Genomic DNA, 18,619 nt, shown 5'->3' with positions numbered 1-18,619 from the left:
ACTGAAGTTAACAAATTGGTAGGAATTGTTTGATTGCATCAAATTCGATAAAGAGCTTAAGTTAAACCCTCCAGGACTAAAATAGAGTGCCACTATGTTTATTCATGTATAGATACTATTTTGAAATCAACTTCATGCTAAGCCTTAAAGATTGTTTTAAAAACAAAGAAGCTTCTTTACCTTCTGGTTCCAGCAATCTGGGGATTTTTAATTCTTGTTCTGCAATTCTGAAGGCCTCTCTCAGATTGTCTTTGTTGGATCTATGCTTCACACTCTTCATGTCAATTAGGTCTGGTCGCAAGGCATGAATGATGGCCAAAAAAGCCATCCCATTTCTCCAACTTGACTTAAAATCGGTCACATTGACAGACTCATAGCTATCATAAAAAGACAAAAACATGACAAATACCATTAAAAAGAACGTAACACCCCCCTCCACTATATTCAATAGTAATTAAAATTTGGCAAATCAAGTAAATTAGATACATCATGCTAGATAAAATTTTTTATCTTGTGACCAAATTAAAGGAAAATGCCAAGTTTGATGAAACTCAAAATACCACAGAACACTGATTCTCAAAATTTGTTTCCTGAGCCAGCAGCATCAGTATCACATGGGGTGCAGGTGTTAGAAATGTAAATTCTCAGGCCGAATCCCATACCTACTGAATCAAACTCTGGAGGTGGGCCTGAAATCTGTGCCTTTAAAAGCCCTCCAGGAGATAATGATATTCACTCAAGATTGATGCCCTTCATTACCAAATCTGTTGGCTTAAGTCTGCCTTTAAACTTCTACATACAGGGAAGGTCAAGGTTCCTAACTAGAGGAAATGATTTCCTTTTTCAGTGGGACAAATTAAATGATACATTGTGTGTAATTAATGGCCAGTAGCTCACTAGATAGATAGACCTTGTCACTCCTCTGCTTAAAACCCATCATGACAGATGAATGGATAAACAAAATGTGGTATATACATACAATGAATATTATTCATCCTTAAAAAGAAGGGAAATTCTGGCTGGGGACGTTGGCACATGCCTGCAATCCCAGCACTTTGGGAGGCTGAGGCGGGAGGATCACTTGACAATGGGAGATTGAAGCTGCAGTGAGCTACAATCGCACCACTGCACTCCAGCCTGGGTGACAGAATGAGACTGCCTCAAAAAAAAAGGAGGGAAATTCTGACACATGCTACAACATGAAGGAACCTTAAAAACCATGCCAAGTGAAATAAGCCAGTCACAAAAGGACAAATACCACATGACTCCACTCATATGAGGTATGTAGAGTAGTCAAATTCATAGAGAAGTAGAATGGTCATTGCCAGAGGCCAGGGTTTGGGGGATGATGGGGAGTTCTAGTTTAACAGGTACAGTTTCGCAAAAGGAAAAAAGTTCTGGTGACAGAGAGTGGTGATGGTTACACAACAATATGAATGTAGTTAGTGCCACTGAACTGTACACTTAAAAATGGTCAAAGTGGCAGATTTTAAGTTATGTATATTTTATCACAATAATATCTACATCTATCTATCTATCTATCTATCTATCTCTCTCTCTCTCTATCTATCTATTTATCAATCAACATCATTAGCTAGCCATTGTATTTAGAATAACATCTCTCACCCTGGTCCACAGACCCTAAGTGATTTGGCCCCTGCCTGCTTCTCTCATCTTTGTATCTCCCCTCTCTTACAGAGTTGCAGTCACACCAGCCTTGTTCCTGTTTCTCAAAGCCACCCTCCTAGTCACTGTCCTTGGACGCTCCTTCTCACAGATCTTCATAAAGCCTCCCACTTGAGGAGTCAGCTTAAAGTCTCTCCGCAGCAAAGCCCTGCCTTACCACCTGCACTAAAGGAGACACTCTCCCTGCCCTCAACCTTCTTGACCATAAAAAAAGTCCTTCCTAATCTGCTTGCCAACTGTAATTATCATATTTCTTCATGATAATTCCTGCTTTCCCCATCAGGATGCAAGCCTTTGAGAGCAAGGGCTTTGCCCTTCTTGTTCACCACTGTAGACTCATTCCCCAAACAATGCCTGGCATATCACCAGGGCTTAAGACACATATTTTTAAAAAAATCACTCCATCACTATTCTGTGCTTCATAAGGGATCAGGGAAAGTCTTGCAAAAGAGTACAGTTGTCTGCAACACTTGGGATATATTCTAGAACAACTATAGTGTCCTTTCATATCCCACAAAAAGCATGAAAAAATTCAAGAGACTATTTTAAGGTCTGAATCAAATGATAAAAGCTACTCAGGAAATAGTCTGCTCCAGATGACCTGGGTTTTCCTGTTTACTTACGGGAAAAAAAGCTTAAAACTATGACTGTAATAAACTACATAGCAGTCAGTGATTTTTGTGTTGTCTAACAAATATGTTTGTGGTATCTACTTCATCCAGAAACTGTTCTAAATGCTTTAAAAAAAATTCTTATGCATATAACAACCTATGACATATTACTGTTCACATTTTATGACTGAAGAAATTGGAACACAAAGAGATTAAGTGTTCAAAGTCACCAGTTAGAAAGTACAGGGCGCCAGCACTTCAAATCCGGGTACTCTGACTTTAGAGTGTGTAAGACTAAGGTAAACCATTAGGTGGGTGCAAAAGTAATTGTGGCTTTTACCATTAAAAGTAATGGCAAATTGTAATGCAATGGCAAAAGTAATGCAATTACTTTTAAGTAATTAAAAGTAATGGCAAAAGCTGCAATCACTTTTGCACCAACCTAATAATAACTAAAGGATGGCGGCTGCAGCTGAGGGCAGGGCCAGACCTCAGCACCTTGAGTGTTGAACCAGCACTGCACTGACTGGCAGGCACTGTACTTAATACTGTGTAGGTCAGCTCTGCACTGATGAGCCAAAGCCAATACCACAAAGACGGTGCTGCCAGACCTTAGAGGGTGGAATTAGGCTCCTGGTTGGCAGAACCTACACTCATTTAGATGTGGAGAACGGGGCCTGATTCATCTGTTTCACAAATGAGAAAATACAACATATTACTTACAAAACAGTCTTATTGAAATGAAACACAAATATTGAAACAATAAAACACAGGATATTGAAATAAAAGTTATCTAATAATACCACCAATGATGGCCAAAACTAGGATAAACCCATGATGAATTACTTAAGAAGATGTGCTACATTTTCATAAGCTTAGCATAAGCTCTACAGTTGAAAACTAAGAAAGATGGGGAGACGTGAAGAAAAGATAAACTGTTGTAAAATATATGGGGCTTTGAAAGGACTTTAAGGTTATTTATGCATAAATGAAATAAATCTGAGTATGACATAATAATGCTTTTCACAAATACTGTTTGGGATTTTTAAAATATAGAAAACTGGAGTACAAATTATCTCTAGGAGATTCAAGAAACAGTTCATTTAATGTACTTTAAACCTCTATATAAGGTTATGTATGTTTATGGCTCTCATAAAATATAGAGAACGAATGACAATTAAAGAAAAGTAAGGCTGGGCCGGGAGCAGCGGCTCACCCCTGTAATCACAGCACTTTGGGAGGCCGAGGTGGGCAGATCACCTGAGGTCAGGAGTTTGAGACCAGCCTGGGCCAACCTGATGAAACCTCATCTCTACTAAAAATACAAAATTAGCTGGGCATGGTGGTGCACAGCTGTAATGCCAGCTACAGGGGAGGCTGAGGCAGGAGAATTGCTTGAACCCAGGAGGTGCAGGTTGCAGTGAGTTGAGATCGTGCCACTGCACTCCAGCCTGGGCGACAAGAGCGAAACTCTCTCTCAAAAAAAAGAAAAGAAAAGTAAGGCTGAAAGCAGAACTTCAGCTCTATCTTGGCCTTTCAGCAGAAAGGACTTACTCTGAAGTCCTGCATTTGAAAGGGCTTAGCAACATATTTATGACCCTATTTACCTAACAATGCTATGATGTGACAAGAAATGCCTTTTGAACTCGACAGCTGTTCTAGTAGAGAGATCTCCTGAATCTACAGTCCTTATTTTTCCTAAGCTCCATCTCAGACACTGCTTAAAATGGAAAAGTAAATTGTCTACCAAGAGCAAAAAACATTTTTCTTTGTTTAAAAAAAAAAAAAGATATGAGCACTAACTTTCCTTCATTATCCCCAATTTTTAATTGGGCATTCTCCAGGCTGGTGTGGTAGCTCACACCTGTAATCCCAGCACTTTCGAAGACGGAGGCAGGTGAATTGCTTGAGCTCAGGAATTTGAGACCAGCCTGGGCAACACGGCAAAACCCCATCTCTACAAAAAATACAAAAATTAGCCAGACATGGTGGTGTGCACCTGTAGTCCCAGCTACTCAGGAGGCTAAGGTGGAAGGATCAATTGAGCCTGGGAGGTCAAGGCTGTAGTGAGCCACAATCGCACCACTGCACTCCAGCCTGGGTGACAAAGTGAGACCCTGTCTCAGAATGCATACTGTCTGGTCTCTGTGCTTCCTAATTGAGCTACGTTTCTAAACTCTGAGGTCTCTTAATATACTCATATACATATTCAAGAGATAAGTTTTGTTGTATGTGTGTGTGTGTGACAAGAGTTTCGCTCTTGTTGCCCAGGCTGGAGTGAAATAGCTTGATCTCAGCTCACCGCAACCTCCGCCTCCCAGGTTCAAGCGATTCTCCTGCCTCAGCCTCCCAAGTAGCTGGGATTACAGGCACATGCCACCACGCCAGGCTAATTTTTTGTATTTTTCATAGAGACGGGGTTTCACCATGTTAGCCAGGCTGGTCTCGAACTCCTGACCTCAAGTGATCTACCCGCCTCAGCCTCCCAAAGTGCTGGGATTATAGGAGTGAGCCATCTTGCCTGGCATTTAAATACCACTTTATTTCCATGTAATAATATGCCACCTAAACACAGCAGGTGGGATGAGTTCGTTTACCCAGGTGATACCACCTTCCAGACTTTGAAACCAAACGTGGCTGAGCTCTTGGGCTTCCACGTATGGAAGAAGCACAGAGAGGAAGGGGGATAGTGAGAATTTTCATGTTAAGTGAGGGAGGTGTTTGGGTGGTGAGGTGGTGTTGGTTGATACAGCTGCCCTGTGTGTCTCTTAGGGTCATAGCAAACTACTTACGTGGCGCATTGTTCCTGAGCCCACAAAAGAAGGGCCTTTCTTGCAGACATTTGCCATCTTGCTTGCACTTTAGAGCATTTCTTAGCTGGAGGACTTGAGGCAGGAGATGAGTCAACCACACTCACATCATCCAGGGAAGGCTGATTGTAATTGCAAGAAAGAGTCTGGGCAAGCTTCTCAATCTAAGGAAGGCAAAGTAGACTTAACGTTTATAAAAGCATAAGTTACCAGCATTGGGCCAAAATTTCCAGTCAAAATAGAGACCTAAAAAGCATCCTGTGACAGTCATAGTTTACTCCTGGTGAAATGAATACTGGGCAAATCCTTGAATAACAGCATCTGCCATGGGGGCTGCACTTTTGCTTCCTAAGGAATGACTTGGGTCATTCCTTACCCTCACCCAGGCATGCTGTCCCACATTGAGGGATGTCCCTCACCAATTCATCCACCTGAAGTGCTTATGGAGCACTTCACTGTAGTTTAACACCTGTCAAATAAATCGAACTGAACCAAATTGAGCTCCTAGAGTATCTTTAGAGACTGGATCAAGTGAAATGCATCCATTATGAACAAATGTACACATAGAAAAAAAGATAGTCAAACACATGGATAGACAAGTCCAGAGGAAACAAATAAAATTGCCATTAAATCTATGAAAAACAATTGCATTAATAATTTAAGAAATTTAAATGTATACAGCAAAAGAATAGCTTTTATTATATTATACAGGCAAAGTAAATGTAAAGGCAATACCCAGTGATGGTGAAAGTATGAGAAACTAGATATTCTTATATTGCTAGTAAATGTACAAATTGGCTCAATTTTTTTGGAGGGCGATATGGTATCTACCCAAAACATTAAAAGATAAATCCATAAACGTAAAAGTATTTAATACATTTCTCTCAACAAATGACAGACTAATCAGACAATCCATAATAACAGATGTCAACAACACAATTAACAAACTTGATCTGATTAGCACTGATCTGGCAAGCACTACCAACATTCCTTTCACGAGCGTACAGAACATTTACTGACACTGACCATGCTGCACCATAAATCAAGCTGCAGCAATTGTGAAAGACTGAAATCATTCAGAGTATGCTCTCTGACCACACTGAAATTCTAGTCAGCAGCAAAGATATAACAGACAAAATCTCCAAATATTCGGAAATTAAGCTACATATATATATATATATATATATATATATATATATATATATACACACACACATACATATATATACATATATATACACACACATATCTATACACATATATATACACACATATATATATACATATATATATATATACACACATATATATATAATTTTTTTTTTTTTGAGATGGAGTCTCGCTCCGTCGCCCACGCTGGAGGGCAGTGGTGCAATCTCGGCTCACTGCAACCTCCGCCTCCCGGTTCAAGTGATTCTCCTGCCTCAGCCTCCTGAGTAGCTCGGATTACAGGCGCACGCCACCACTCCCGGCTAATTTTTGTATTTTTAGTAGAGACAGGGTTCCACCATGTCGGTCAGGTTGGTCTCGAACTCCTCACCTTGTGATCTGCCTGCCTCAGCCTCCCAAAATGCTGGGATTACAGGCGTGAGCCACCGCACCCGGCCTAAGCAATATATTTTTATATGGCCCATGGGTCAAATGAGAAATAGTAATAAAAATTAGAAAATATTTTGAACAGATTAAAATGTTATACTCATAGATTGAAAGATGCAATATTTTTTAAATGTCAATTTTTTTCTAAAATGTTTCATATATGCCATGCAATCCTAATAAAAATTCCAGCAGGAGTGTGTGTGTGTGTGTGTGTGTGTGTGTGTGTATGTGTGTGTCTGTGTGTGTATGTGCGCGCACGCACACGTGTGAAAACTGACAAGTTATTCATAAAATTTATATAAAAATGCAAAAAGCAAATAATAATGAAGACTTTCTTAAAGAATAAGTTGGACAACTTACACTGTCGGATATCAAGACTTACTATATAGTTACCAAAATTACAAAGTATAGTACTGGTGCAAAGAGAAGTGATGAAACAAAATAGGTCATTTGAAAATGGAGCTTCACATATAGGGCGACTTCATGTCGACTTCACGTGTGAAGGTGACACTACAGCACAGTAGGAACATGGTGAGCTTTTCTTTCTTTTTTTTTTAGACAGAGTTTCACTCTTGTTGCCCCGTCTGGAGGGCAATGGCACGATCTCGGCTCACCGCAACCTCCGCCTCCCAGGTTCAAGCGATTCTCCTGCCTCAGCCTCTCGAGTAGCTGGAATTACAGGCATGCACCACCATGCCCGGCTAATTTTTTGTATTTTTAGTGGAGACGGGGTTTCTCCATGTTGGTCAGGTTGGTCTCGAACTCCCAACCTCAGGTGGTCCACCTGCCTCGGCCTCCCAAAGTGCTGGGATTACAGGCATGAGCCACTGTGCTGGGCCATGGTGAGCTTTTCAATAAACTATTGAGTCAACTGGATAGCCATATGAAAAAAGTAAATTTTGATTGTTTCAACATAACATACAAAATTGATTCATTCTTGAAAGACGGTAGATCTAAATATAAAATTTAAAACAACTACATTTTCAGAACTGGGCTGTTCAGTATGACAGCCACTAGGCACATGTGAGATTTAAATTCAAATTAATTGAATAATTTATTTCCTCTGCCATACTAGCCACATCTCAAGTGTTCAATAGCACAAGTGGCTAGTGGTCACTGTTTTGTACAATGTAGCTATGGAACAGTTCCATCACTGCAGAAAATCCTATTGGACAAAATTTTTCTGGAAAATAATGTAAGAGAATACCTTCATAGTAAAAAGAGGTCGTTAAAGAATATAACAGGCCAGGCATGGTGGCTCACACCTGCAATCCCAGCACTTTGGGAGGCCAAGGCAGGTGAATCACCTGAGGTCAAGAATTCAAGACCAGCCTGACCAACATGGCGAAACCCCATCTCTACTAAAAACACAAAAATTAGCTAGACATGGTGGTGTACACCTGTAGCCCCAGATACTCAGGAGGCTGAGGCAGAAGAATCACTTGAACCCAGGAGACAGACATTGCAGTGAGTCAAGATTGTGCCACTGCACTCCAGCCTGGGCAACAGAGCAGGATTCTGTCTCAATAAAAAAAAAAGGAATATAAAAGTATAAGCCACAAAAGAAGTTGATAAATTCAAACTATATTAAAATTATGAATGCTTCTTCATTAAAAGATTGAAAAAGCAAGCCACAGAGTCAGAATTATTTGCAATTTATATATATATTCTACAAAGGACTTTTGTCCAGTATATATTATGTTATACTGTAATATATGTTATATTATAGTATATATATTATATCATATATATTACAGTATATAATATATACTGGACAAAAGTTATATATTACAGTATATATATAATATATACTGGACAAAAGTTCTTTGTAGAATATATATAAATATATATAATGTATATACTGGAGATCATATATATACATATATATGATCTCCAGTATATATGTGTATGTCTGTGTATCTATATCTATATCTCCAGTATATATGTGTATGTGTATGTTTTTTGGAGACAGGGTCTTGCTCTGTTGCCCAGGCTAGAGTGCAGTAGCCCAGTCACGGCTCACTGCAGTCTCAACCTCCCAGACTCAAGTGCTTCTCCCACCTCAGTCTCCAGAGAAGCTGGGACCACAGGCAGGTACCACCATTCCCAGCTAATTATTTTTATTTTTATTTTTGCAGAGATGGGGTCTCCTTATGTTGCCCAGGCTAGTATTATATTGCTGGGCTCAAGCAATCCTCCTGCCTCAGCCTATCAAAGTGCTGGGATTACAGCCATGAGCCGCTGCACCCAGCCTAGAATATATTTTAAAAGTCTATAAATCATTACACATAACATCAAGGCTTAAATAATAAATTTTAAATGCCAAGTATTAGCAACAGGGATTGGAGCAAGAAACTCTGGTGAGTATAAATTGGAACAACCACTTTGATTAACTGTTTGGCAGTATATACTAAAGCTAAAGATCATATGTTCTGACACCATCAGTTCCATTCCTAGGTACATGCAGGATGGAAATCAGGATTTATACAAGGTATATACAAGAACGTTCTGAGCAGCTTTACTCATAGCAGCTAAAAACTGGCAACAGCTTGACCAGCCTGGCCAACACTGTGAAACCCCATCTCTAGTAAAAATACAGAATTAGCTGGGCATAGTGACACACACCTGTAATTCCAGCTACTCAGGAGGCTGAGGTCGGAGAATCACTTGAACCCAGGAGGCAGAGGTTACAGTGAGCCAAGATCGTGCCCCACTGCACTCCAGCCTGGGCGACAGAGCGAGACTCTGTCTCAAAAAAACAAAACAGAACAAAATAAAAAACAAACAAATAAAAAAACTGGCAGCAAAAGAAATGTGCACCAACAATACAATGGTAAATATGTTACGGTATATTCATACAATTGGATATTCATGCAGAGCAATGAACAAGAAAGACTTACTGATACTTGCTACAATAAGGTAAATCTCACAGACATGATATAAAATGAAATAAGTCAAACACGAAAGAGTACATAGTGTACATAAGAGAAGACATTTATAATTCCATTTGTATGGTGTTAAAGACTCTACACTTATCCACAGAGCTCAAAGCGGTGCTCACCTTTAGGAAAGGAGGGCAGTGATTGGGAGAAGGACCTGGGGCACTTAGGGATGCTGGCAAAGTTCTATATTTTTATCTGGCAGGGTGATTATATGGGTGTGTTTCATTTATAAATATTCATCAAACTCTATACTTAAGACCTGTTCATTTTTATCTGTGTGTATTACATATACATCAACAAAAGTTTACTTAAAATTTTTTAATTAAAAAAAAAAAAAAAAAAAAAAGGCCAGGTGTGGTGGCTCATGCCTATAAACCCAATATTTTGGGAGGCCGAGGTGCGTGGATTTGAGGTCAGGAGTTCAAGGCTAGCCTGGCCAACATGGTGAAACTCAGTCTCTACTAAAACTACAAAAATTAGCCAGGCATGGTGGTGGGCACCTGTAATCCCAGCTACTCAGGGGGCTGAGGCATGAGAATCACTTGAATTCAGGAGCCAAAATCACGCCACTGCACTCCAGCCTCAGCAATACAGAAGTTTCAAAAAAAAAAAAAAAAAAAAAAAAAGCTTTAAGCCCAGCACGGTGGCTCACGCCTGTAATCCCAGCACTTTGGGAGGCCAAGGCAGGAAGATCATGAGGTCAGGAGTTCGAGACCAGCCTGGCCAATATGGTGAAACCCCATCTCTTCTAAAAATACAAAAATTAGGCAGATGTGGTGGTGCACACCTGTAGTCCCAGCTACTTGGGAGGCTAAGGCAGAATCAGTTGCACCCAGGAGGTGGAGGTTGCAGTGAGCCAAGATCCTGCCACTGCACTCCAGCCTGGGCAACAGAGCGAGACTCTGTCTCAAAAAAAAAAAAAAAAAAAAAAAAGAAAGGCTTTAAGTTTGCAAACCCTATGGCACAATGCCACTTCTAAGAATTTGACCTGTGGAAATAATTAAGATTGTATCGCAAAGGTTTTACCTTAAGGGCATTCTTATCTGAAATTACCTATAATTACAAATGATCATGAGCTTTCTGACTATCCATTAGTGAAATATAGTACTTTACAACAAACATCATGCCTCCATTTATTTATTTATATATATATATATATATATATATATATAAAAATTCAGAAAGCTGTTCATCAGAGCATGCTGAAAACAGTATGGATAACATGACCCCCATTTTGTTAAAATATATACATATGAACATACATTAATTATTGATGTAAATATCATAAAGACTATACACTAAATTATTTATAGCAGTTATAGTGAGTGGTAGATTACAGATAATTTTATTATCTATATTAAAATTTTTAATTATATTTCAAATACCAGAAAACTATAGGAAAAAATAATAAATGACCATGAACTATCAAATTTTAACATTTTACCATATTTGGTTTAGATTTTCTTAAAGAAATAAAACACAGGCCAGGCGTGCTGGCTCACACCTGTAATCCCAGCACTTTTGGAGGCTGAGGCAGGTGGATCACAAGGTCAGGAGTTCAATACCAGCCTGAGCAACATGGAAAAACCCTGTCTCTACTAAAAATACAAAAATTAGCTGGGCGTGGTGGCGCGCACCTGTAATCCCAGCTACTCAGGAGGCTGAGGCAGGAGAACCTCTTGAACCCAGGAGGCGGAGGTTGCAGTGAGCCGAGATCGTGCCACTGCACTCCAGCCTGGGCGACAGAGCAAGACTCTGTCTCAAAAAAAAAATAATAATAATAAGTAATAAAAAAATAAAAATAAATAAAACACAGATACAATTTAAGCCTCTTTCTCTCTCCAATCCCATTTTATCCTTTCCCAGAAAAAAAACACACAACTTAAATTTAGTTTTCATAATCTCATGCATATTATTCCATTGTAATTACAAATGCACGTATCCAGAAATAATATATAGTCTGTCTCTGCATGTTTTAAATTTTATATGTTAGTTATGCTATTTTTCTAGTTTTTCTAAAATAAATATTTTTCCTAAGTTATTTTTAAAATAATTATGGAGATACAGAAAATGCAACATTTTAGGTAGTGCAGAAACCCTGCACTATGTCAGAATTCCAGGCCTGAAAAAACATATCAATCATATGTTTTATAAAGTCAGAACTATAACCATCACTAAATCTTGATGTCCTCGCATAAGAGCTAGCATACAGTAAGTGTTCAAAAATATCTGTGAAACGAAATGCATCCACAACTCAGTCTTGGGATAGAACTGGATGTTGTGGGATTATTCACAGTCAGATAGGACAGGAGTCCCCCAAAATGGGGAGGCTTTACAAACTTTAGTGGTTAGATTTCAAGCATTTACTCCAGAAGCTTCCTACCCTCTCCCCTGCCATAGTAAACAATAAGAAGCAAACATTTACCATGGCAGGTTCTGTTCAGACTGGTGCTGATATTATGGATAATGCAGGATATCATGATAATTCAGCATTCAACTTTCAATTGAAAAATAGCAACAGGACAGGCACGGTGGCTCATGCCTGTAATCCCTGCACTTTGGGAGGTCGAGGCAGGCAGATCACCTGAGGTCAGGAATGTGAGACCACCCTGGCCAACATGATGAAACCCCATCTCTACAAAATATACAAAAATTAGGCCGGGCATGGTGGCTCACACCTGTAATCTCAGCACTTTGGGAGGCAGAGGTGGACGGATCACCTGAGGTCAGGAGTTCAAGTCCAGCCTGACCAACATGGAGAAACCTCATCTCTACTAAAAATACAAAATTGGCTGGGCGTGATGGTGCATGTCTGTAATCCCAGCTACTCGGGAGGCTGAGGCAGAAGAATCACTCGAACCTGGGAGGTGGAAGTTGCAGTGAGCCAAGACTGCACCACTGCACTCCAGCCTGGGCAACGAGAGCAAAACTCCACCTCAAAAAAAAGAAAAAAAAAATACGAAAATTAGCCAGGCATGGTGGCGCGCATCTGTAGTCCCAACCACTCAGGAGGCTGAGACAGAAGAATCACTTGAACTCAGGAAGTGGAGGTTACTGTGAGTTAAGACTGCGCCACGGCACTCCAGCCTGGCCGACAGAGCGAGACTCCATCTCAAAAAGAAGAGAAAAAAACCAATAACAGAAATGGCAAAAAGTCTGCTATTATTTTCTACCTCTTCAAGATTTTCAGAGGTCCTATTTATAGGAGAAGCTCAGGACTGAATCTAGTCCACTCACACTTATTGCATTACATTTATTTTATACTGTGGTAGGGTAGAAATAATTTTTATATCATCAAACTACTTACATGAAAGTGCAGGATAATTGTCCAAATTAGGCCAAGGATAATGGATGGGTTTCCATCAATGATATCAGTAACATGAATATTTATTAGCTTAATCTGGAAAACAAAAAGTGCAGGTTAAAAGGAGGAAATATCCCAGAGCATTAATCTCTCCTGTGAATTTTTAAGAAAAATTTATACTTACTGATCGGTTTCTTAGGAATGTCAAGGCATGTTCTATATTGATTCTACACTGGAAGGTATTAGATCCTTTATCCCGAGGCTGTGAAATTCAAGCAAATATATTACTCAGAAAAAATGAAATACATATTTTTTAAGTCAACAGAAAGTTTCTCAGTGTCATTTAAAAATCTTACCAACTGTTGCCCAGAAAGTACTTCTAGCAGATCCAGGAGGACATGCCCCTTTTTAATGTCTGTGAATAGGTCGGATATAACTGAGGGAGAAGTGTGCTGCAGAAGGTCACAAGAAAAATAATCATTCAAACTTTGGTCCAAAAAGAATACCTTTAAGAATCTCATAAATGTGCTTTGTGAAAAACTAAAATTCAGTAATGACTTTCTTCTTAATTAAGAGAATGAGAGAGAACATGCAAAGATTCATATCAAAACGTAAGAAAAGTAGCGAATTTAATTTATCTTATGGCTAATTTCCTGTAACACAACACCCTTTCTGCGTGGAGCTTTCACTGAGAGCTTAAAACCTGTGCACACAAGTGGCATTAAAGACTTTTAGAATCAGTCGCTAGTGACCCATCTGGAAAGCAGATTACATTTCTGGAGTAACCTGCTTATGTATTTACCCTTTCTTAGAATTACAAGCATCGTGTTGAAATGGACAGAGAAAAAAACAGTGTGTGGTCTGTGAGAAGAGGCTCATTCATTGTGTATCTAGGTTACTCTAGACACTCAGCATCAGTGTGGTAGGATGGCACAGTGATTATGATCAAGGCCACTGAGTCCAGACTGTCTGGGTTCATATCCCAGCACTATCACTTTTAAGCTGTGTGACCACATGCAAGTCACAAAACTTCTCTGTACTGAAGTTTCCTTGACCTTTAAAAAGGTATATTACTATCTATTTCATAGGGATGTCGTGAAATTATTTGTCAGGAGTTGTCATAATCATTACACTTAAAGAGTTTAGGACAGTTTCTAATATATAACATTTATTATATGCAAATCAGTATTACTATTACTTCACTTGATGAAAGAGATGTGATTAAATATTTTTATAGCACTGTCCCATATCCTCAACAAAAGTCCCTTTTTTTCTGTGTGAGAAAGAGTAACAAATACATCAAAACAAGATCAAGACAACTTTTAGCACATTCTTTCAAGAAAAGACATTCCACAACCTTTTCCCTGTCATCACCAGTACCATTTTTTAATGGCCTCCTTGGGGTCAAAACAGAAGGAGTAGGGGGAGTAATAAATAGATTTATAAACTAATTTGGTCTTCATTTGCTTACCCTGGCCAACTGTGAGTTTATCCAGCACGTGAAGGCTTTCTTCTGGGTGTCTTCCTGTTCAGCTATCAAAGAAAGAACAACAGCAGTTATAAAACCAGAAGCCTCAGAAACCTCCTGCACATATCAGAGCTTCAAAGGTCTGTCACGCTAGGTGTGTGCCTGTTTCACAAGCTTACAAACTTTCCAGGATTTAGTCTAAACTGTAGATGTTTGTCCAAGTAGTGTTTTAGAAAAACCATGTTGATACGATATTTTTTTAAAACCATGGGTTTGTTGACGAGACAATGGTTTTTAATATTTTTTACTGATAAAAGAATTAGGACCACGGTGCTGTGGTTCACACCTGTAATCCCAGCACTTGGGAGGCCGAGGTAAGCAGATCGTGTGAGCTCAGGAGTTTGAGACCAGCCTGGACAACATACAGAAATCCCATCTTTACAAAAAATACAAAAATTAGCTAGGCATGGTGGCATGAACCTGTGAGGGGGGAAGATGGCTTGAGCCCAGGAAGTCAAGGCTGCAGTGAGTCGTGATCATGCCCCTGCACTGCAGCCTGGTCAACACGGCAAGACTCTGTTTCATGAAAGAAAAAAAAAAAAAAAAAATGAACTGAGACCCTATACCACCTTGACAGTACTGTACAAAGAACTGTGAGCAGCAACAGGAGTTCCTAACCTAGACTTTAAGTTTAAGCCCAAACCGTTTAGTAAAGATGACCCCAGAACATAAGAAGATGTTTTAAATGGCACATGAAATCATTAAGGTTTAGTCTTAACATTTATCATGGAGAATATATCGCCACTGAATTAACTGTAAATGGGCTGTAATTAGTCAGAGAGAACTGTGTTCAAATCCTGTTTCTGTTATGGGGTAGCTGTGTGACCTTGAGCAGTGTCCTTGTTTAATAAAAAAGTAATACGCATTTGTCTCTAGAGATTATTATAAGAATCTAATGATTCACTTAAAGTGATTAGCATAGACTCTGGCACATAAGAAGTGTTGGCTATTACTCTTATTAAACAGGTAGGGGTCGGATGTGGTGGTTCACGCCTGTAATCTCAGCACTTTGGGAGGCTGAGGCCGGTGGATCACCTGAGGTCAAGAGTTCAAGACCAGCCTGGACAACATGGGGAAACCCCATTTCTACTAAAAATGTGAAAATTAGCCAGGCGTGGTGGCACACGCCTGTAGTCCCAGCTACTTGGGAGGCTGAGGCCGGAGAATCATTTGAACCGAGGAGGCGGAGGTTGCAGTGAGCTGAGATTGTGACACTGCACTCCAGCCTGGGTGACAATGCGAGACTTCGTCTCAAAAAAAAAAAAAAAAAAGAAAAAAAAAATCCAGGTAGGAGTCAAGGGGAAGACCTGAACCCTCAGAGTACAGCCCTTCTTGCCCCTCTGAGCAGGAGTGGGCCCCACACTGACACCATGCCTCCCTTAGCCCTCTACCCCCTGATTTTCAGCAGACATTCTCAACACCAGGGTTAAGGGTTAGCCCTGCACTCAACAACTGAGCTTCCATCTCCCCACATCTCCTCACCTGGATGGGCAGAGATAAGCACAGGCCCAGACACCCATGGCACCCTGTGCCCAATGCTTACGGCCTTGCCACCATCAACCTCCAGTTCACCAGGCCTCATCTCACTATACCCTTTATCCTTGCTTATATCAGCCAGTGCATGCACACATGCAGACACTCACATGCACACATGCAAGCGCACACATGCACACACGCACACACACGCACATGCACTCTAGACTCTCAGGTCTCTCTCATTTCTTTCTAATTCCTGTTAAGACTCTGCATATCCCCCCAACTTTTCTCATCTCCCACCTCTCCTTAAGTCCTAAAGTGCTTCCACGGATGATGAAACCCGTGGTGTGCCATCAGCAAAATCCCCTCCATGCCCAATACCCTCTCTGGTGTTGAGGCTTTCCCTTCCTGCTTTCATGGAAACCTGGCTCTCCTCTGAGAATACCACTTCCCCTGCAGCCCTCTCAAGTGGCAGCTTTGCTTTCTCTTGCAGCCCTCGTACCACTATTTCCTCCCTCCTCATGGCCACCTCCAGTTCATCCTCTACCCTCTTTGTCCCTGAAATCCCCTAGCTTTGAATCTCACGTCATTAGACTATCCTTGCTATCACAATTGTTACCTACCTCTATCATTTCCCACCCTTTCTGCTCCTTCTCCACTGTCACTCTGTCCAATAGTCTAATTCTTAGTACTTTCTAATTTACTTATTTATAGACAAGGTCTCACTCTGTTGCTCAAGCTGGAGTGCAGGGGTGTGATCATGACTCACTGCAGCCTTGACCTCCCAGGCTCCCAAGTAGCTGGGACTACAGGCGTGTACTGCCATGTCCAGCTAATTTTTTAAATTTTTTGTAGAGATGGGTGTCACCACGTTACCCAGGCTGGTCTCAAACTCCTAGGCTCAAGCAATCCTCCCAACTCACCTCCCAAAGTGCTGGGATTACAGGCGTGAGCCATCACACCTGGCCTTATTCTTGGCAATTTCAATATACACAGCAATGAACTTTCCAATGTCCTGGCCCCTCAGTTTCTCGAATTCCTCCTCTCCAATACACTTGTCTTCTGCCCTGCGTCAATCACCTTGCTGTCGTGGTCATACTCCAGACTTTGTCATTACTAATAACAACTCCTCCATGATCTCAAGTTCATGCATCTCCATTCAGTTCACTCACTCTAGTGCCCCAACTCCAGCAATCATTTCAGTTCATCAACAACTCCAAGCCATTGACTCTGCCAGTTTTTCAGTGTCCCTCACCCCCAGGATATCCTACCTTTCATTCTTATCCATTTTAAGTTCCATGATCAATTATTACCAACACTCCTTGCATTTCACCTATTTTGTTCTATTTGCTTTGACACTTCATGACTACTCTGTGCACTTCATCCTACAAACAGGTTGCTGAATGTGGCTGGAGAAACCCACTCAACAGTGCTCACTGGTCTCACCAGCAGCCCCAGTGGGCCCTAAAAGCTGCCCAGTAATCTCACACTATATGGCCCTCTCCCTGTCCCCAGATGGCAACTTAACCCCTTTTCTTCTTCCACAAACATCCAATACCTCCTCCCTCATCATTAAACTCAGCTGAAACCTTGCTTCCCACCCACTCATCTAACAACCTGCAAAAGTGCTCTGCTTCCAACCTATCAGCACAGATGAACTAGCCTTGCTCAGAACTAAAGCCAATCCTTTCACTTGTACACTATATCCCATCCCTGTGCTCCAACGCAAGAACATTCTGTTCCTACCTCTTCCGTATCATCGTCTTCCCCCACTCTCTTAAACAATTCCCATGAGTATACAGCCATACTGTTAATTCTCCCATCCAAAAACAAACCTCTTGACGCCAGTTCCCAACCAGCCATCGCTTCATTTGTCTGCTCCTTTGCGGCAAAATGCCTCAAATAGTTTGTGTTTACTGTCTCCAGGTCTTCTCCTCCCTCACTCTTAACTGAACCCATACCGATTAGGTCCCTGCCATTCGACTGAAACAGCTTCTCATCATGGTCACTTGAATCAAGGTCCTCGATGACACACTCTCATGAAAACCAATGGTCTATTCTCAACCTTCATCCTGCTGGACCCATCAGCAGCATCTGATATAGATGATCATTCTCCTCTCCTGCTTCCAGGAACCAGACTCCTGATTTTCCTCCTTCATCAAGGTTGCCTCCTCCCTTTCTCTCACGTTTCATATCTAATGCCTCCAGATATCCTGTTAGGTCCACCCTCACAATATATTCAGGATATGACCACTTCTCACCACCTCCATCACCACCACCCTGGCCCAAGTCACCATCACCTCCACCTGGGTTACTGCGACAGATTCCTAACAGATCTTCCCTCCAGCTTTGCCCCAAAATACTATGCTCAGCACAGCAGGCAGTGATGTTGCTAAAATGTTCACTCAGATCAGGAAACTCCTTTGCTCAAAACCCTGCAAGGGCTCCTCCCTTCACTCCTCATGATGGCTACAAGCCCCAGCACCATCTGCCCTTCCCTGCTTCCCACCTGCTGCTTCTGCTCCAACCACTCTGGCCTCCTGTATTCCTCAAACTCCCCAGGCCCATTCCCACCTTAGGCTTTGGCACCAGCTGTTCTTTCTTCTAGGAATGTTCTTTCTACTGTTATCCACAGGTGAATTCCCTCACCTCCTTCAAATCCTGGC

General features: G+C 40.9%; 1 protein-coding gene across 29 annotated transcripts in view, besides 2 other annotated features; it reads right to left on the bottom strand.

The window, feature by feature from the left end:
• Positions 1–18,619, bottom strand: part of SYNE2 (spectrin repeat containing nuclear envelope protein 2) — a 464,854-nt gene that overhangs the window by 271,354 nt on the left and 174,881 nt on the right. For all 29 annotated transcript variants that reach the window (XM_047431152.1, XM_011536576.3, XM_047431149.1 and 26 more), the window contains 6 exons: positions 14,421–14,482; positions 13,306–13,401; positions 13,134–13,211; positions 12,953–13,045; positions 5,090–5,271; positions 181–377 (listed from right to left, as the gene is read on the bottom strand). In XM_047431152.1, coding sequence (XP_047287108.1) covers positions 181–377; positions 5,090–5,271; positions 12,953–13,045; positions 13,134–13,211; positions 13,306–13,401; positions 14,421–14,482 — 708 coding nt within the window. The remainder of the gene's footprint in view (positions 1–180; positions 378–5,089; positions 5,272–12,952; positions 13,046–13,133; positions 13,212–13,305; positions 13,402–14,420; positions 14,483–18,619) is intronic.
• Positions 3,111–3,673: an enhancer, noted in NCBI's record as "OCT4-NANOG-H3K27ac hESC enhancer chr14:64418141-64418703 (GRCh37/hg19 assembly coordinates)". NCBI's record gives its function as "activates a minimal SCP1, AML or CMV promoter by ChIP-STARR-seq in primed H9 embryonic stem cells {active_cell/tissue: H9 hESC(primed)}" and the evidence as "EXISTENCE:reporter gene assay evidence [ECO:0000049][PMID:30033119]".
• Positions 3,674–4,237: an enhancer, noted in NCBI's record as "OCT4-NANOG-H3K27ac hESC enhancer chr14:64417577-64418140 (GRCh37/hg19 assembly coordinates)". NCBI's record gives its function as "activates a minimal SCP1, AML or CMV promoter by ChIP-STARR-seq in primed H9 embryonic stem cells {active_cell/tissue: H9 hESC(primed)}" and the evidence as "EXISTENCE:reporter gene assay evidence [ECO:0000049][PMID:30033119]".

The sequence above is a fragment of the Homo sapiens genome, chromosome 14 (genome assembly GCF_000001405.40).
Source record: "Homo sapiens chromosome 14, GRCh38.p14 Primary Assembly".
NCBI classification, from domain to species: domain Eukaryota; kingdom Metazoa; phylum Chordata; class Mammalia; order Primates; family Hominidae; genus Homo; species Homo sapiens.
Note: the sequence above shows the minus strand (reverse complement) of the source record. Positions and strands in the feature narration are given on the sequence as shown.